The following is a 19,856-nucleotide window of genomic DNA, read 5'->3' on the forward strand; positions in this document are numbered from 1 at the left end:
ATCTTTGGCCAGGGAACTAACCCAAATTACCACATCTTTGTTATGGGACATGCCATCTGTTTTTAGCCATTGATTTTACTATTACAGCAGAGTGTAGCCTATCTGCTTCACAATCAGTTAAAAGTCCAATTTCTTCCCCAAGTTTCACCTGCATGACAGATAACTCTCTTGCCAAATGATAATTGGGACTTGAAAAACATTTTGTTTTAATTGAGTTCAAGCAAGCAAATCATCTTGGCTAGGCATCAAAAATCCTGGACACCCAAAAGCTAGAGAGATTAAAAACATTTTTTTTCTTTTTTTTTCTTTTTTTAACACACCTATTTTCCAAGTAAAAAACTATTCTCTTTAGATTATCGGTATTGAGGAGGTTGGTTATAGTACCCTCTTTATAAAGACCCACGGAAGAAATTTCTTTCAGGAATATTTGTGTTTCTCTTGAGTGTCATTTTTTTTTTCTATTTTCTGATGTTTTACATTGACTGCCAGGCAGCTCAGAGCAAAATTTTTGGCCTTCCTCCAGCAAGTATTCCCCATGGTTTTATTTTGTGTACTAGCCCTGGACTTTAATCATATTTTCCCTGCACTCCAACTTTCTCACTGTTCTTTGAAAATCTCATTGTAATGTATTTGTGTAAATTACACTCAAATCCTTTTTGGACTAAACTGGGCTGTAAATAATAAATAAATGACCAGGTGCGATGGCTCACACCTGTAATCTCAGCACTTTGGGAGGCTGAGGCAGACGGATCACTTGAGGTCAGGAGTTTGAGACAAGCCTTTCCAATATGGTGAAACCCCGTCTCAATTAAAAATACAAAAATTAGCTGGGTGTGGGGGTTCCTCCCTGTAATCCCAGCTACTTGGGAGGCTGAGGCAGGCGATCGCGTAAACCCAGGAGGCAGAGTTTGCAGTGAGCCGAGATGGCACCACTGCCCTCCAGTCTCCGCGACAGAGAAAGACTCTTTCTCAAAACAAAAACAAAAACAAAAACAAAACGCAATGAATAAATAATAAATCACAAATAATCATCAATAAATACAAAAAGTAGAAATTAAAAAGCACAAATAAATTGCAAATACAAGTTGTTTTCAAGTTCTTGGTTAACTCCATTTCACTATTAACATGTACTACTTCCCTCTCCCTTTATACAGGGATATCTGAAGCTCTCTTCTGATATTTATCAACGATAAATATGCTGGTTTTTTACCACGCAAATGAAATTAAATTAGAGAGGGTAGAACTAAGGGGGGTTTAGTTTTGTTATTAGGGCTTTCCAACATTGGGGAAAAAAAGTGACTTAAATGCAGGTCTGAAGAAGACATTGGGATTAATGTGTTTGTGTGCAAGACTAAAAAAGAGGACGAGCATGTGATGTATATTTATCCCAAAGAGGGTGGAGAAAGGTGGCATTAAACTGTTCCTAGATGACTTCTCAGCAGCTTTATTGTCCAGAGAGCTTTGTGGCTGCTCAGAGTGTACAAATGGCAATTTTTATTTTGAGTTTGTGGACGTCAGGAAACCTTTCTGCCCATTGACCCCTCATCTCTGAATCTCTAAAACCAATCTTATGTTATATAGTGGAGGTTCCTGGGGCTCAGAAGCAAGCTTCCCTACCCCCAACTCCCCGTATTTGGCTGAGACCTTCTGTCTAGTTCTGGAAACTGGATTTTTCTCCTAGTGACCTATCAGGTCACTTATAGTCCTACCTGCTTTCAACAAGCTCACCCCACAGCAGAGGTCAGGTTGTTGAATCTCAGTTTGGTGGCTTGGGCCTCTCTTTCTGCTACTGTTCTTAGATAGCACAGACCCAGGAATTCAACAGCTGGCAACCCATTCCCACCTCTGCCTGTTTTTCAGCACTCAGTGGGTACCTCTTCTTGGGCAAGTTATTCAATATCTCTGGGTCTCAGTTTCCTATCTGTAAAATGAAGATCATCTAGTACATATATCTCAGTGTTAGTATGAGGAATCAAAAGAGACAATGCAAAAAAAAAAAAAAAAAAAAGCTTAGAACAGTGCCTGGCACAAATACTAGGTGTACAGTAAACTGGGCCGTTGCTGATGATTAAGGAAGAAGCCCTTGTGTAAGCATGGAGTTTCCTCCTTAGCTGTGCTGTGCTAAGGATGGTATTAAAGGATAGCCAACAATTCCCCTTTCTAGAGCATCTGAGCAGCCAAGGTAGATTTACCCTAAAACTGTTGAAGTAAAGTTTAGGTGTCAATTTCTTTATTTGCATGGGCCTCACCTAGGGCCCAAGAGGGGCTCTAACAATGTGTCCATGGGGTTGCATATTTTTGTAAAATTTTGCATTGTTTCTTTTAAGAAGAAGGACCACCCAAATTGTATAAGCTTTCACACCTCACAAAGGCTGGCTCCATTCCGGTATCCAAGTCACATGACACCTCTGGAGCCGCCAATACATGAGGTGGGTGCTGCCAGTAGTAGATTGATAAATAGATATAGAATTATAAATATGATCATACATGTACAAAAGGATGATTTGCAACACTGAATTTTGGGCCGGGCACAGTGGCTCATGCCTGTAATCCCAGCACTTTGGGAGGCTGAGGCAGGTGGATCACGAAGTCAAGACATTGAGACCATCTTGGCCAACTTGGCGAAACTCGTCTCTACTAAAAATACAAAAATTAGCCAGGCGTGGTGGCGGGCGCCTGTAATCCCAGCTACTCAGGAGGCTGAGGCATGAGAATTGCTGGAACCTGGTAGGCAGAGGTTGCAGTGAGCCCAGATCGTGCCACTGAACTCCAGCTCTAGCGACACAGCAAGACCACGTCTCAAAATAAATAAATAAATAAATAAATAAATAAATAAATAAAATAAAACACTGAGTTTGTTACTTATTTAGATAAGCCAACTTGTTTTAAAATAAAGAATATAAATTTCCTTCTATCTTTAGAATTGAATTGGAACTTGTACAATACCCTTAATAATAATAATTTGATCTAACCCCCCAAAATGCCTCCCTCACCTTGCTGCTTAATCAAATTTCACAACATCCTGTTATTTTTGCAAATTAGTTACTGTGCAGAATATAAACTATGTCTTGGCTCCAGGCTATGTTGTCTCCTCTATTCATTCTGGTGGCTTTTTGGGCCTTACCCTACCACCAGAACTCTATACCCTATAACTGACTTCCACAGCTGAGCACACTAAGATCTGCAGAAATTGCATCCCATAGCTCAGCAAAACACATTTTGCCATGAATTTAAAATAACCTCTCAGGTAATTGTCATCTTTTTTTCAGTAAAGAAAAAATTGCCAAAATTTAGAAAAGAAATACAATAGCCAAAAAATGAAAACATTCGTTCTTAATAGAATATTTGATAGAACAAAACCTTGATGCTAAGGACCAAACGAGATGTCATCTGAGTCACCCAACATATCCATATACTTCTGCAGATGCTTCTAGTGATTCCAGGTGACCTTCTCTGTACACCTAAGGCCCCTTTTCAGACTCCAGCCCTAGCTAGGAGTCAGGCAGGGGATGGAGAAGAGGTGATTGTCGTGGTGCTAGGACCATGTCTGCTGTGGGGGTGGGAGGGTAGACACAGGAGACAGCAGTGGAGGCATCACAAGAGATCATTCTTCTGCTTTCAGGTTGGTTGTTGCCTATGCCATGCCTACTGCCCGCTCTTGTGTTGTAGACAAGGGAGTGTCTCTAACTGTGGAAGGTGGGGGCTCTCCTTTTTTGTAAAACGCTATACTTTATTCCGATATCGTGTTCTTGAAGTTACTTACAAAAGGCTAATATAGCCCTTATTTTGTTTTCTGTAATGAAAATTATTATATCAGTAATACATGCTCTTTGTAAAGAATTTGAATGATACCTCAAAAATATTTTTAGAAAGTAAGACACATGAAATCCCATCACCTTGAGAGAAATACCACTGACATTGTAGTAACCATATTTTCACACACACACACACACACACACACACAAACTATACTTGTACATGTATATACATAGAATACTATACATATATACATACTATACTATAAATATATACATAGTATGTATGTATTTATATTATATAGCTACATACATATAGTTATTTAAGATTACAAGATACAAGTGGTTTTATCATAGATATTTTCTCCTTCCCTCTCACTCCTCTCCCCCATATCCTTCATCCCCTACCCTCTGGATTACCATATTAACAGCAGGTTGTGAGTGTAGATAGGTCTAGGGATAAGTAGGAGTTAAGGAAAAAAGAACAGGTGACAGGCAGCCCAGACGAAGAGAACACCACATGCAAAGGCAAGGAAGCAAGAGCTTATTAGAGCTGTGGCTCTTGAAACTTTAATGTGCATACAGATCACCTGGGGATCTTGTTGAAATATAGATTCCGAATCAGCAGATCTGGGATGAGGCCTGAGATTATGCATTACTACAAGTTTCCAGGGAATGCCCAGGCTGATGGACCACGCTTTGAGAAGCAAGGATGTAAACTATTGTGCAGTTCAATGTAGTATCTACCAGCCACATGTGACTTTTATTTTTATCTATTTATTTATCTTAGATGTCTTGCTCTGTCACCCAGTCTGGAGTGCTGTAGTGCCATCATAGGTCACTGCAGCCTTGAATCCTGAGCTCAAGTGATCCTCTTGCCTCAGCTGCCTGAGTAGCTGGGACTACAGGCCTGTTCTGCCATGCTTGGCTAATTTTTTTTTTCTGTAGAGATGGAGTCTTGCTATATTGCGGCAGCTGGAGTGCAGTGGCTATTCACAGGCACTGTCTGAGCACACTGCAACCTCAAACTTCTGGCCTCAAGGGATCCTCCCACCTCAGACTTCTGCCCACGTAGCTGGGATTATAGGCATACCACCACCAGGCCCAGCATGACTATTTAAATTTAAATTAGTTAAAAGTAAATGAAGTTTAAGATCCAGGTCTTGTGTTGTGCTAGTCACATTTCAAGTACTCAATAGCCACATGTGGCTACCATACTGGACAGCAGAGATATAGAACATTTCCATCACTGCAGAAAGTTGTATGGGAGAGTGCTGGACAGCATTCAGGGGACTGCCATTAGTTCAGCATGGTTGGATTATAATAGGTATGTGGGAAGTGAGAGGAGGAAGTAGATAGGTGGAGGTTGGTTTTGTTTCTGGTGGCAGTAAAGAGCCATTTAACAATTTCCAATGGAGATGACAGCAGTGTGGAAGAATTCATGGGGAAGGGAACACTGGAGACAGGGAAGCTGAATGAAGGTGGAGGCTACTGCAGTGGATGATGCTGAAAGTAAATGATGGAGCTAGAACTAAAGTACAAGCAAGGGCTGGAAAGAAGAGGCAGAGTCATGGTGGTCAATAGGAAGAACTGCCCGCATGGAAGAAGATGAGGAAGTAGGAGGCTGAGAAATGGAGGAGGAGACTGAGAAAGGAAAGCATTTGCGCTAAGTCCTGGACAGCTGGGCTAAGGAATTGTTATTCTTCAAGACAGAGGACACAAAAAGGAAGTGGAGGGGTGGAAGAAGAGAATAAATTCTGGGCCAAAAGAGTGATTTTGTGGTGTCTCTGGGAAATCCAGCTGAGAATATCTGGAGGGCTGGTGGGTATTCTTCTAGGTCCCTTTATTCAACTTCCGACAGATTAAATTTGGAGAGACTGAACTCCCTCAAATTGGACAGATTGGCCAGTCGTGGTGGCTCACATCTGTAATGCCAATGCTTTGGGAGGCTGAGGTGGGAGGATCACTTAAGCCTAGGAGTTGGAGCCTGACCCGTGAGCTATGATTGTGCCACTGCACTCTAGCCTGAGTGATAGAGTAAGACCCTGTCAAAGGGAAAAGAAAGGGAGAGGGAGAGAGACGAGAGAGAGAGCAAGAAAGAGAGAGAGAGAGAAAAGAAAAGGAAGGAAGGGAGGGAGGGAGGGAAAGAAAAGAAAGAAAGAAAAGAAAGAAAGAAGGATTGATTAGACATACTAATTTCTCTAAAAAAATTAGGCCTAATAATAAACCCAATTGAAACAATTCTCTTTAAACTGCATTATAAGGATTTTTAGTACCAAATATATATTATCTTGAACCTAACTCAAAAGCAATTATAAATCAGTTTATTTTGTTCTATTGTCTCTGTATTTAATAGACATTTCTCCTCTAAGCCCAGTGAACAGTTTTACTATTTCGAATGAACTGTTTGTAAGTTCATTGAATTGAGGTATTTGGCCAGAAATGTGAAGCCTTCAGATTAAGGTGAATTTCTCTTAAATCAAACACAAATATAATTCTTTCATAATTCCTTCCCATTTTTATCCCCTGATTTGGGGAGGAGGGAAGACATTCTGCACAACTACCCCCAGCCCCTGCTAGGTTGCTGCTGAATTCCTGCATTAGTCTCTTTACTAAGGAGATTTACTTCTCTTTTCCTATATTTTCCCATGTTGCCTGACCACATGCATTGCCATAGTTAAAGGAAAGGTAATATCTCTCAGCTATCCAAAGGGACTATAAAAAGAACAGATTCCAACTAGAGATATGTTTGGAAGACTCTTGAGAAAGGTGAAGGGACAACAAACTGGTATTCACTCTCCAATTTCAACAAGATCCTATGAATATCTGCAAGATGATGACTAGGTGCTAGGGTTTATTGGTAAATTTTACTCAACTTCTTCTTCCCACCAAAACCACCTTAATCACACCCGAAACCACACCCTACATCAGATCCTATCATTCCCCTGTTAAAACACACACACACACACACAACAAACAAACAAAACACTTGAACAGCTTTCCATCATTCTTAGCACAAAGTATAAACTCTTTCACAAATACAAAAATTAACCAGGCATGGTGGTGCATGCCTGTAATCCCAACTACCCGGGAGGCCGAGACGAGAATAGTTTGAACTTGGGAGGTGGAGGCTGCAGTGAGCCAAGATCGTGCCACTATACTCCAGTCTGGGCAACAGAGCGAGACTCCATCTCAAAAACAAAACAAAACAAAAAAACTCTTCCAGGGTTTCCTGCATGGTCTGGCCCCAAGCCATTCTCATCTCAGGCCACTCTGCTCCTTAAGTTCCATTTCTGGGAGTCCTTAAACAGGTAAAGCCCTTTCCTGTTTTATCTTGGGGCTCTGGACGAGTTGTTCTTTCTGTTTACAAAGCCACACCCCACCAGAGCTGCCTGTCTTGATCTGTTAACCAAGTGTAGGCTATTTTTTGGTTTCCCTTCCTGCTCCACCCCCAACACCTGGGGAAAGGCTAGGTAGCATGTTGTTTGAGGGGCTCTGCCTTCAGGCTGCTTGAGTTCAAATCCTGGATCTACCACTGGCTAGCTGCTCTGTGACTTTGGGCAAGTTACATAACATAATTATTTCCCCATCTATAATTTGGAGATGATTAAATATATTTTGAGGATTAGATTTGTTAGCAGATGGTAAGTACGTGAAACAGCAATAGAAGTTCTCCTTTTAGCATATACTCCAATTTTCTTCTACTTATTTGTTTGCCAAGTTTGAGCCTGTTACCTTGAGATTGCTATGGTTGCCTTCTCAACCTCCCCAACTCCTACCCTCCAGCTGATTATGGTCTACTTATTGGACTCTGTAAATGAATAAAGAGGGAGCATGAGGAAAGGAGGTAGTCCTTCTAGCTTTAGGAGAGGCCACGGGAGTGAGCTTGTTGAACAAGACATGGTCGTGGCTTCTCTTTAAGCTTACGGTTTAGGCGGACACAGATGATGAACACACACCGGATTAGTGTGGCTTTAAGAAAGGGAATCCCAGGGCCTTAGGCCAACCCTGGAGTAACCTCGATGCCCTCTCCAGAAGGGCACCCGAGGAAGGGTCTAGGGCCCAAGAGCACCAAAATCACCAACGCCGGGGATTGGTAGGTAGCCTGAAAAATCTAATTCAGAGAAGGATGCTCCGCGCGCAGACATGGCTTATCCCCGTGCTACTGCATGAGCCACACCTAGGCCGGCCCCGGACACCGACAGCCAATGGCCGGGCCCGTCCCGCCCCATCCGGGATTGGCTGTGCGTGCCGCGGCCCTCCACCCCGCCCCGCTCAGGATCTTCCCGGGATTGGCTGAGCTACCCGACCTCTCCAGGGGATCGGCTGCGCGCCCCGCCCTTGCCCAGAGTCTTCCCGGGATTGGCTGCGGGCCTCGCGACCCTCCTGCTTCCCTCCCCGCCCCGCGCCGCCTCTCTGGTTTGTGCGCCCGTCGCAGGTCGCAGGCCTCTTTGTCAGCTGGAGTTGCGCGGTGAGTGCATCTCCAGTCTTCGGCTTTCGGTCTCCCGCGGGGAGGGCGCCCGGCCGGCCCGTGGGTCCGATCAGGGGCTGGGCTCGCCCGGTGTCCCCACGAGCTTTGCCCGCCTCGAGCTCCTCTGCTCCCGGCGGCCAGAACGGAGGGGTAGAGCAGCCCTCGGCGGCCCGGGGGGCGGGCGGCGGTGCCCGTCCCGGGGCTGCGCGAGGCACAGGCGCCGCGCCCAGCGGAACAGCCGGAGGTTCCCGGCGCAGGTCTGGGCACCGTAACAATTTTGCGCTTTGCTTCCCCAGGGCTGACGCGCCACTATGTAGCGGGTTTCGGGCGGGCCACGCGTGCGGGACAGGAACCCAACCCCAGCCGACCTTGAGCTCCAGGAGTTCGTCTCTTACGTCTGCGGAAGTGCAGCTGCCTCAGTTCTTAGCGCAGGTATGTTCCTAGCCTTGAGCGGGGTGGGGGAAGGAATGAGTCAGCCTGGAGCACGTGGCCAGTGGGACCGGAGGGTTCCCCGGCGTCTGTTTGTCGCCAAGGTCCGAATCCGGCTCCCCTTAACTGGAAGGAAACATCCATGTAGGGGCTCACCAAACAAAACAGCTGTGTTTCTAGTGTGGTTTCAGACTTAGAGAAGCAGAGATCCACGAGGTATTGAGAGCAACGCGGAAAATAGTAGTGAACCCTGTAAAAATCAAAGAAAAAAAATCACAAAGCACCCTTTCCTGTGCCCTTTTAAGGTTGACCCAGTGCTTTAAGAGGCTAACACAGAAGGGTAAAGTAAGTCTCCATAAAACCCAGAGAAGAGACTGGAAAGCTCCTCTTTGGATCCTGTCTGGAGTCACAACTGAACCAGAAAAAGTTTCGTTACAACTTGAGCGCCTTTGTGATTTTCTTTACAGTTTATAGAACAAGCAATACATTTCAGTTTTCTTTGGTTAAAACGTCATTTTAAAACTTTTCTTTCTATAGGTTGACAACTACAGGCACAAGCCATTGAAGCTGGAATGTCCTGTTGCTGGTATTTCAATTGACTTAAGCCAACTATCCCTTCAGTTACAATAGGAAAGTGCCTCTAATAAGGCCAAATATGCGTACTAACTTGTAGCAACCACGTGTCCGTGCAGTGCCACAGGAGCTAGAGCAGTGACAATGCTGGTGGCAACAGGGCAGTGTAGCAGGTGCTTCATGTTCACCTTTTCAACCTTTTCATTTAATTGTCACAACTCGGAGGTGGATTCTGTTAGGGACAGGCTGCCCCAGGACCACTCCGCCCCCGCTAACTCAATGCAGCTGACCCTTACCCTGAATACTCTGCAGCTGCATTCCTGAACCGTTATCTAGGCGCTATAGCAAGGTCACCAGACTTGCTACACCGAAGCCCTCTGGGTGGCACGGGGGAGGTCATGAGAAACGTGGATTACACCCCCTTGTAAATTCCTATTTTCACAAGATAATATATTGTAAGCCGGTCATGAGATTATATGTGGTAAAGTTAATTGACTAACAACCCCAGGGTCTCTCTCCCCCATATAAACCCCTCATTTTGTAAGCTCAGGGCTGCCACCTCCGACTGGTGGAGAAGCCTGGCAGGTTAATAAACTTACTTGGCCTGACCTTGGGTCTCTTGTCTTTTCTCTCGGCTAACCTTACAGATTCTATTCTCCCATTTCACAGGTAAAGAAATGGATTAGTGATAACTCAAGTTTCATCACCTGTGAGTATCTCTGAATGAGAGGCTTCACATGTATAACTTTTAGGCAATGTGACTTCTGGAAAGTCACTTGTCTCTTGAGATTTGGTGTCCTGGTGTAACAGTTAAGAATTATTTCAACCAAACTAGGAAAGGACCACAGTCGAGCTGTTAAGAATATAAACTCTTCATATTATTTCATTGCATTGAGCCTAAGAAGGTTCACAAAATTTGGCACAGAAGGAGTATCTGTCAGCATATTCTGTTTTTTTGTGTGTGTCTATGTAGCAAGTATTAATATTTATCTTGGAGTCATTCTTAATTCATAGCATTGTTCTTACCTTTTTATCTAAACTTTTATGTTCCATATTGTAAAGTCTAGCCTCATAAATTTAGGTAATTGCTCACAAGTTTGGATAATGTTGAATTGTAATCCCGATGTTAGAGGAGGGGCCTGGTGGGACGTGATTGGATGAAAAGGGTGGATTTCCCTCTTGCTGTTCCTTGTGATAGTGAGTTCTCATGAGATCTGGTTGTTTAGATGTGTAGTGTGGCTGGGGCAGTGGCTCATGCCTGTAATCCCAGCACTTGGGAAGGCCAAGGCAGGGGGATCACTTGAGGTCAGGAGTTAAGACTATCTTGGGCAACATAGTAAGACCTCGTCTCTACAAAAAATGAGGCAGAAGGATTGCTTGAGCCCAAGAGGTTGAGACTGCACTGAGCCATGATCTTGTCACCGTGCTCCAGCCTGAAAAGAAAAATTAATAAAAATAAAGGTTATGCAATTGTGCACATGTTATCTCAAGGCAGAGGCAGAAGAATGGCAGAGTTTAGATTAAAAGTGTGGCACCTCCCCTTCCTCCTACTCTGGCCATGTGCTTCCTGTTAGACATACCCCATGATTGTAAGTTTCCTGAAGCCTCAGCAGCCATGCTCCCTGTGCAGCCTGCTGAACCATGAGACAAACCTTTTCTTTATAAATTACCCAGTCTCAGTTCTTTATAGCAATGTGAGAACAGACTAGTACAAAAAATACATTCAACTAATGTGTTAGCTGGCTATAATTGCTAAGGGGGTAAGGAAAGGGAGATGACTTAACATGGCCGGCAAGGGAGGCCTCACTCAACATGAAAGAGCTGAGGGAGATGCCATGGCCTTATCTATAGTTGAGGGAAGAGCATTCTAGGCAGAGGGAAAACTAGTGCAAAGGCCCTGAGGATAGTTGTGTTTAAAGGTTTGGAGAAGCAGTGAAGCTGTAGAGAAGTGCCCTTAAGGAGCGGAGGACTTTATGTCTGTAGTAGTGGAAAGTTGGTTATTTTCAAACTATGGTAAAATGGCAACGTGCTCTGGCCTGCGGGGCTCTGAATGTTTTAATTTAATTGGAATGCTCCCTATTGCCTTATACTTTACTGCTCTTAACCTAACTTTTCTCTGACCACCATCAGCCCTTCTATGTGTTCTTGATTTTCTTTAGCACCCTGTAATGGCCCTGTAGCATCAGAACTACATTGCGCATCGCATGCAAACTTACCTAACTGCCTCTGCTTCTCTCCATTCTGTAAAGTCCACCTTAGTTCCCACCATATTACAGAGGGTCTAGTCAGGTGCTTGACCTTTTGTAGGTAAGTGGCTTACAGTCCCCTTCTAAGGGCCGCATAATGTTGAGCCTAGGTTCAAATCTCTGTGTGTGATCTTAAACCTCTTAGTGTTAGGTTCTATTAACAAGTAATTAAAATGAGTTATATGTGGTACATCAGACTACTTGGTAAGTAGTAAATACTCAGCAAATGATATATTAGTTGGTAGTACTATTTAATCATTTTTATAACACCGTATAGTCATAATGTAAGAACAAAATGACAATACTGATATTTAGTACTGTGTGTGTTTCAGCAGCACATCTACTAAAATTGGAACTGATACTTAGTATTTACATAATACTGGAATAGCTCTAATGTTCTTTTAATGGAGCATTAACTATGGGCCAAGTACTATTCTAGGTATCACGAGAATCAGTGAGCAAGTATACAAAAATCAGTGGATATGGTTGGTTTTGACATTTCAGATATTCGATAGCTGCATGTGGCTAGGGGCAGCACAGACATAGAACATCAATATACAGAAAACAACCCCAGAGCCTTAAAAGGCCCTAGCAAGTTCTGTCAGAACAGTGGTCCAGTGAAGTGGGCCAAGAGAATGGCAAGGTTTTCTAGGTACTGTCAAGATGAAAGGTGTAAAAACTGTGTTAAAAGTCTGAAGGCTCTAGCAAATAGTTGTCAAGAATAACCACTGGTTTCACAAAGCACTCCACGGAGTCCTGGTGGTGGTCCTTTGCCCCTTGAGTTACTTGGGCAGAGGCCCTGTAACACGTCCATGGCTCAAAATCCACATGTGGCTAGGGGCAGCACAGACAGAAAACATTTCCATTACTGCAGGGTTTTATTAGCAGTACTGTTGTAGACATTGCATGAATCAACCAACTTTTCAGAAGAGAAAACCTGTCAGAACCTGGAAAGACAGTGTAGTCTGAATGACCGCCTCTCGAGATAATCAGGCCTAATCTCTCGAACCTGTAAATGTTACCTTATTTGCAGATATTAATATAATTAGATTAAGGATCTCAGGATGGGGAGATTACCTTGGATAATCCTAGTGGGCCCTAAATGCGATCACAAGTTCCCTCATGAGAGGGAGGCTGAGGGATATCCACACACAGCAGATTGGAAGATGCTGGCCTTGAAGATCAGAGTGAGGCAGCCCCCAGGAGCTGGGAGATGCCAAGGAACACATTCCCCATCAGAGCCTCCTGAGGAGCATCATTTGATTTGGCTCAGTGAAACTGATTTCTGACTTCTGGCCTTCAGAACTGAGAATAAATTGCTGTTTTAAGCCACCAAGTTATAATTTGTTACAGCAGCCTCTAAGATCACAAATATAGCTGGGGCAAGAACCCCACCACCTCAGCCTTCCTCCCTTGTTTTTATTAGTGCCGTGTGGGTGGTTGGGAGTAGATCCTATGTATATTCATTAGTCCTTTTTATTTTATTTTATTTTATTGAGAGAGTCTCACTCTGTCGCCCAGGCTGGAGTGCAGTGGCGCGATCTCGGCTCACTGCAAGCTCCGCCTCCTGGGTTCATGCTGTTCTCCTGCCTCAGCCTCCCGAGAGCTGGGACTACAGGCGCCCGCCACCACGCCCGGCTACTTTTTTGTATTTTTAGTAGAGACGGGTTTTCACCGTGTTAGCCAGGGTGGTTTCGATCTCCTGACCTTGTGATGCACCTGCCTCAGCCTCCCAAAGTGCTGGGATTACAGGCATGAGCCACCGCGCCCGGCCCATTAGTCATTTTTTAAAGGTATAACCATGAATTTAAAATGTATTTAGACTTTAATCTTGAGATACATGAGCATGTGCATGTGGCTAAAATATGTGGGGTCAGCACATACCTCCTAATAAAGCATTGTGAAAAGTAAGGAATCAATTTATGGTTTATTGGAAAGTCACTTATGCACACTTGTATTTATACAGCACAAGACACCACATTTTAAAAATTCAATAACTGAAGCAAATTAAGACAATAGGAAAAGCATTCTAATTATAATTTTTGCCCTGCGGGCTGTACAGCTTCAGCCAGCAGTGTCCTGGAGGTAATACAAACTGCTAAAGTGAGATAATGTTTTCATAAACCTCAGTTTTGGTTTGTGTTTTAAGAAATGTAAACTTGAATCTCGGCAAGAGAAGGTTCTCAAAATTTGGCACAAAGGGAGCATCTGTCAGCCTATTAGGTGTTTTTGGTGTATGAAACATGAGATGTAAAAGAGGACTTAAAAGGACATAATAGTACTAGTGTCCTTTAAAAATATATATATATATATATCAGCTAGGCACAGCCTGTAATCCCAGCTCTTTGGGAGGCTGAGGCATGGGGACCGCTTGAGGCCAGGAGTTCGAGACCAGCCTGAGCAACAAAGCAAGACCCCATCTCTACAAAAAGCCAAAAACTTAGCTGGGCACAGTCATCTAATCTACTTGGGAGGCTGAGGAGGGAGGATGGCTTGAGCCCACAAGTTCAAGGCTGCAGTGAGACATGACTCACTGCTCTCCAGCCTGGGCAACAGCAAGACCCTGACTCCAGAAAAGTAGTATGACTAATGAAACCAGTCTTCCCAGGGTCAGCTACCACAAGGCTCTGACTTAAGTCCTTGCCACTAGGTTGCAATAATACTAATTCTGAATTACGGGATACTACACTTAAACAGCACTATACTAGAGACTGAGAAGGAAATTGGGGCAAAGAACCTAAGTTTTTTAATGAGAAGTTCATATTGAACTCAAATTTATTATGTGATGGAATAACACATGGTTCACCTAGCTCCCTAAACTAACATGTTAATTGACAAAAATACTATCTGAAATCCTTTACATTTTCTAGATGTATCAAAATTTCTTCTGTGTGAAACCATTTTTCACCTATTCTGTGTAAGAATACCTTATCTATATCAACTGACATGAATTACTAATGCTTTTTTATTAAAGTGTTTGAGCAAAACCATCATTTGACTGGACCATGATGTACTTGAGGCTATTCGTGGGCTCACGAATATTCAAGTAATTCAAGCTTTCCTTTATTGAATGCTGTAGAGCTGAAACATAGCATATGAAGGTCAAAACTCAGTCACTTGAAAAGATTGTATATATTGTTTACTTGTTAATACCCTTTGAAACTTCTCAAACTATAGAATCTCATTCTCATGATGAAAGGATCAGACTGAACCCTATTTGCCCTTTATTCTAAATCCTAGAGATGAACAGTTTATATATAAAAATCCATTTAAAAGTGAAATTTAGATTATTTAAAGAACAAAGTATCGTGAGATTCTGAACATAATCAGGTCCTCACGTTTTGGTGGGTGGGAAGAGTGAAAGAGAACAGTGTGTGTGTGTGTGTGTGTGTGTGTGTATATATATATATATATATTTTTTTTTTTTTTTTTTTTTTTTTTTTTTGAGGTGGAGTCTTGCTCTGTCTCCCAGGCTAGAGTGCAGTGGCATGATCTCGATTCACTGCAAGCTCCGCCTCCCAGGTTCACGCCATTGTCCTGCCTCAGCCTCTAGAGTAGCTGGGACTACAGGCGCCCACCACCACGCCTGGCTAATTTTTTGTATTTTTAGTAGTGACAGGGTTTCACCGTGTTAGCCAGGATGGTCTCAATCTCCTGACCTCGTGATCCGCCCGCCTTGGCCTCCCAAAGTGCTGGGATTACAGGTGTGAGCCACCACACCCTGCGAGAACAGTATATTTTTATTTAATGCTTAAACTGCCCACAATTCTTCATTGCTTTTTCTTTCTTAATCGAATCCCTGTTTCCAACATCTGAGCTCCATCTTCCACTCCCAAAAGAAGTTTCATTATTACAAGTTAAATATTTCTGCCCAAGTATGGCCAGTCTCAGACTACTTTTGAGATGTGTCCGTACAGAATAACAATTGCTAGCTCCCTGTTGAAGGTTTAACTGCTTACCCTGCAGGTAACCTGATGAGCTCACTTTGAAGAAATAAGGTAGAAATTCTCCTACAGTTAGTTCCTTACTGTGAGATAACAGTTTGTTCCTCCTAATAAACTGGTTCCATCCTCTTCTTTTGGTCATATCCAGCTCTACAAGTTTCACGCTGTTTAAGTCATGAACCTACAAAAGCCTGTGAAAAAATCTTTGAAGATGCTCAGCTTGTTTCAGTCTGAAATTTCTCCAAGACCAATGAACAAAACAGGATCATGCCCTGAATACACACCCAAGCTGCAGGCTCCTGCTTAGCCCTATTTTGGTTTGGCCTCCATGAGATCTTCAGCCACAATAGCAGGAGATAAAAATCTTCCTAGAAGCTTTCATCAGCTGCAAGTTTTCTTACAGAATGAAACTTTTCTGCTATTTTTCTCATAGTTAATTGGCTATTTGAGAAAACCGAATTTCTGGCTCTCAGCATTTAATTGGATTCTGTGGGTGACTGGATGACCGCTTTGCACATCACCATGGGTATCATCCTTACCTTCTTTAAACCTTTTGTGCCAGTCAAAAATTCTTGCTCTTGATATGTCATCACCGGAAACTACTTTTTTTTTTTGTTTCTCTTTTGTGACAGGGTCTTCCTCTGTCACCCAGGCTGGATGGAGTATAGTGGAACAATCATAGTTCACTGCGGCCTTGGTACCCTAGGCTCAAGCGATCCTCCCACCTCAGCCTCCTGAGTAGGTGGGACCACAGGTGTGTACCACCAGACCTGGCTAATTTTGTTATTGTTGTTTTTTATAGAGGTGGGGGGGTCTCCCTATGTTGCCCAGGCCTGTCTTGAACTCACGGGCTCAAGTGATCCTCCTGCCTCAGCCTCCCAAAGTTCTGGGATTACAGGGGTGAGCCACTGGACCCAGCCAGAAACTACTTTTAACAGTTCTAATTGCCACTTGTCTTGGCTGTATATTCAGAAATAGCCAGATTGGAATTATGGTTTTTTGATTGCTATTGATAGGGAGGTTCAAATGCAATATACCAAAATAGTCTATTTCAGGTGTCTCACTGACATATTTAACTTTACACAAAATTTAATATGAATTCTTTGCTCTAACAGTCAACAATTTTTAGGTCAACAAAAGAATAACTCTATTCACATCTAAGAAAGTTAGTTGGCAACCTTAAAAGCTCTGTTGTAGCCAGCTGAAACATAACCTATTCCAGCAATTTCACAAACTACACAAAGAAAAATTGGTAAATATTTCAACAGATGAGTACAAATAATCTTTGGAGAAGCTGATAAAGATTTCAGTGCTATATCATCTTAGCCTGCTATTTTCCCACCTACAAAAGGGTCGAAAATAAATCAGCTTTTTCTTGTCCAATTAATAGGAAAATGATATATGAAATACTTTAATTATTAGTCGGCACTGTCCCACCCCGAAAGAACCTAAGACTTAAAAATACATCCTAATAACATGTATATTGCCACTTGGCTGTACACTGAAGACTCAGGTATCTACAGTATTTTGTATTCTCTTCCCGATTGCACGATTTTTTCAGTGCTTTGCTTTCAGGGAAAACAGACTCAGGCTGGTCTTTCTTATGGTATTAAGTACAGGCTACTTTAAGATAATTTTGTGGTGTTTGCTAAATTCAAGAAATCAATACAGGCCGGGCGTGGTAGCTCACACCTGTAATCCCAGCACTTTGGGAGGCCGATTCCGGCGGATCACCTGAGGTCAGGAGTTCAAGACCAGCCTGGCCAACATGGTGAAACCCCGTCTCTACAAAATATACAAAAATTAGCCGGGCGTGGTGGCTGGCGCCTGTAATCCCAGCTACTTGGGAGGCTGAGGTGGGATGATCGCTTGAACTCGGGAGGTAGAGGTTGCAGTGAGCCGAGATCGCGCCACTGCACTCCAGCCTGGGCGACAGAGCGACACCGTCTTAAAAAAAAAAAAAAGAATTCAATACATAGTGTCATGTGCCTTTACTGGGGGAATCTCCTTTACCTTTTGGGGAGGCTGATAGGGCTGCTTAAAATATTTGTATTAGGCACTGGAAGATGTAAACGGGACCTTATCCTATTTAAACTCTCTTTAAATTAGCTAGAAATGGGCTGGGAACAACAGGAACCCACCATTTAACTACGGCGGCTAATCCCCCAAGTATGGTAACATACTGTACTGCACCCCCTAAAAGTGTGTTACCAACAGGACCACAAACAAGTTTGCCCACTGTTTTTAATGCAAATGTTCCTTTCAAGATCGCAAACCCTTCAATACACAGGGCCTAATCCAGTCGCGCTTTACTACTACGGGTTACTCCCGCCAACTGGCAGGGGAGCCGCCCCGGGCCCCGCGGAAAAGGCAGGTGCGCGTGAGGGAAAGCATGAGAGCCCGGGCCGCGCCCACCTCGGCCCCAGGCACTACGGGTCCTGCGGGTCCCGCGGGTCCCGGATTCGAGGCGAAGCGGCCCAGAGCCTGCGGCTGCTCAGACCTCCTCACCGCGCCCACCTCCCAGCCACCTCCTGGCTCCAGGTCCAGAGCAGGAGCAGGACTACCGGGGTCCCTGGCACACAAGGAGCAGAAATACCTTGAGGGGCGGGACCAAGTAGCCCAGCGCTGGAGGAAGACCCGCACCCTCGCGGGAGTTCTGAGAGCCTTAGCAGGCCGCGACAACACTGGGAGACGTGTCTGCCAATCACCGGATGGGGGCGGTCCTGGGGGGGGGGTCATGCAATTGGCTAAGCACGGAGAAGCTCTCGTTCCATTGGCCATTTTTCCGGCCTCAAGCCCACCCCTAGGCCTGAATCCCCGTCGCGTTCCGCCGGTCTGCTTCTCGGCCGAAAGGCTGGGGAGGAGGAGAGGAAACGCCTGGGTTAGTTTTGGTTCCTTCTGCTGGCGCTCAGGCTGCTGGAAGAGTCCTAGACCTTCACCCGTGGTCCCTTGGGCCCGTTTCACGCCCACGTTCTGACATGTCCTGTGGTATTCTGTACCTCTGCCTTCTACCCTGTGTCCCACGCTGATCCATCCTAGGCAGGGAGAAGGCAGCGTCGCAGGGACAATGCCAAAATCAAGATATTTCTCTTAGAGCTTTCTAATATTAATACCTTATGTCTAGGTATGGTATACAATAAGCATATATATATTTTATAAATCTAAAACCACTCCCCCTCATTAAATCATCAAACTAGTCCCAATGAAGTAGGTACTGTTATTCCTTATTTTTCAAGCAAGGAAACATGAGCAGGAGGATTTAGTGATCGGCTCACGTCCTGTCATGTTTACTTCCTAAATATCAGCTGTATCCTGTCCTCATTCCTATTCCCTTGCTCTAATTCAGACCTTCATAATTGCTTGCCTGGATTAGTTCTACAAATAGCTCCCAACTCCTTTCCCGGTCATCCTCCAAAGCCAAAGATTAATCTTCCTAATGCAAATCTGATTGTGTCTCTTAAACCCTTCTCAAGCCTCTCAAATGTCAACTCCTTCTGTGGCACCTCATTGCCTGTAGGTTCTGGCAGAGACTGCTTTTTATTGAAATATAACATGACCACAGATGAGTACACAAAAATGCACATTCGGCTGAAATTTCACAAACTAATCACAGTCCTGCCACCAACAACTAATTTAAGAAACAGAACATGGCGGGGCGTGGTGGTTCATGCCTGTAATCCCAGCACTTTGGGAGGCCGAGGTGGGCAGATCGCTTGAGGTCAGGAGTTTGAGACCAGCCTGGCCTACATGGTGAAACCCTGTCTCTACTAAAAATACAAAAATTAGCTGGGTGTGGTGGCACACGTCTGTAATCCTAGCTACTCCGGAGGCTGAGGCAGGGGAATCGCTTGAACCCGGGAGGTGGAGGTTGCAGTGAGCGAGATCATGCCACTGCACTCCAGCCTGGGTGACAGAGCTATACTACATTAAAAAAAAGAAAAAAAGAAATAGAAAGAAAGAGAGAGAGAAAGGGAAGGAAGAAAGGGAGGGAAGGAAGGAAGGAAGGGAGGGAGGGAGGGAGGGACGGAGGGAGGGGAAAGAAACGAAGAGAAAGAAAGGAAAGAAAAGAAGGGAAAGAAAGGAAAGAAAGAAAGAAACAGTACACCAGAAGTATTTCCTTCCGGTAGCTAACCACTCCTTTTCACCCAAAGGTAACCGCTAGCCTGACTTCTAACAGCATAGAGCAGTATCCTTGTGTTTGTGCATTATATACATGTGATTTTTTGTGTCTGGTTTCTTTAACTCACTATGATGGTCATGAGGTTCATCCATATTTTGAGTATAGTCACAGTTTGCTCATGAGAATGCTGCAGTGCAGTCCATTTTGTGAATATACCACAATTTATGTATTCAACCAATTGTTGATAGGCATTGGAGTAGTCTACATTTTGGAACTATTAAAAATATTGCTGCTATGAACATTGTAATAAACGTCTTC

General features: G+C 43.9%; 1 long non-coding RNA gene and 2 other non-coding genes across 5 annotated transcripts, besides 6 other annotated features; all 3 read left to right on the plus strand.

The window, feature by feature from the left end:
* Positions 7,899 to 8,732: a silencer, noted in NCBI's record as "fragment chr4:53578367-53579200 (GRCh37/hg19 assembly coordinates)". NCBI's record gives its function as "represses an EF-1alpha promoter that drives an FKBP-Casp9 reporter gene in an ReSE screen in HepG2 liver carcinoma cells {active_cell/tissue: HepG2}" and the evidence as "EXISTENCE:reporter gene assay evidence [ECO:0000049][PMID:32094911]".
* Positions 7,907 to 8,476: a silencer, noted in NCBI's record as "silent region_15425". NCBI's record gives its function as "represses an Ori minimal core promoter by ATAC-STARR-seq in GM12878 lymphoblastoid cells {active_cell/tissue: GM12878}" and the evidence as "EXISTENCE:reporter gene assay evidence [ECO:0000049][PMID:35858748]".
* On the plus strand, positions 8,093 to 16,396 carry DANCR (differentiation antagonizing non-protein coding RNA). Of its 3 annotated transcripts, NR_145129.1 has the most exons (5): positions 8,093 to 8,226; positions 8,523 to 8,658; positions 9,193 to 9,241; positions 9,898 to 9,937; positions 15,567 to 16,396. It is a non-coding gene; the product is annotated as a differentiation antagonizing non-protein coding RNA (long non-coding RNA). The 3 variants fall into 3 exon arrangements; NR_145130.1 differs by lacking the exons at positions 9,193 to 9,241; positions 9,898 to 9,937 and having other exon boundaries at positions 15,567 to 16,395; NR_024031.2 differs by lacking the exons at positions 9,898 to 9,937; positions 15,567 to 16,396 and having other exon boundaries at positions 9,193 to 9,837.
* MIR4449 (microRNA 4449) lies at positions 8,381 to 8,446 on the plus strand. Its single transcript, NR_039651.1, has one exon. It is a non-coding gene; the product is annotated as a microRNA 4449 (primary transcript).
* Positions 8,727 to 8,776: an enhancer, noted in NCBI's record as "active region_21556". NCBI's record gives its function as "activates an Ori minimal core promoter by ATAC-STARR-seq in GM12878 lymphoblastoid cells {active_cell/tissue: GM12878}" and the evidence as "EXISTENCE:reporter gene assay evidence [ECO:0000049][PMID:35858748]".
* Positions 8,948 to 9,069, plus strand: SNORA26 (small nucleolar RNA, H/ACA box 26). The gene has a single exon (NR_003016.1). It is a non-coding gene; the product is annotated as a small nucleolar RNA, H/ACA box 26 (small nucleolar RNA).
* Positions 17,692 to 17,831: a silencer, noted in NCBI's record as "silent region_15426". NCBI's record gives its function as "represses an Ori minimal core promoter by ATAC-STARR-seq in GM12878 lymphoblastoid cells {active_cell/tissue: GM12878}" and the evidence as "EXISTENCE:reporter gene assay evidence [ECO:0000049][PMID:35858748]".
* Positions 18,012 to 18,061: a silencer, noted in NCBI's record as "silent region_15427". NCBI's record gives its function as "represses an Ori minimal core promoter by ATAC-STARR-seq in GM12878 lymphoblastoid cells {active_cell/tissue: GM12878}" and the evidence as "EXISTENCE:reporter gene assay evidence [ECO:0000049][PMID:35858748]".
* Positions 18,222 to 18,521: an enhancer, noted in NCBI's record as "active region_21557". NCBI's record gives its function as "activates an Ori minimal core promoter by ATAC-STARR-seq in GM12878 lymphoblastoid cells {active_cell/tissue: GM12878}" and the evidence as "EXISTENCE:reporter gene assay evidence [ECO:0000049][PMID:35858748]".

Source organism: Homo sapiens, chromosome 4 (genome assembly GCF_000001405.40).
Source record: "Homo sapiens chromosome 4, GRCh38.p14 Primary Assembly".
Classification (NCBI taxonomy): Eukaryota; Metazoa; Chordata; class Mammalia; order Primates; family Hominidae; genus Homo; species Homo sapiens.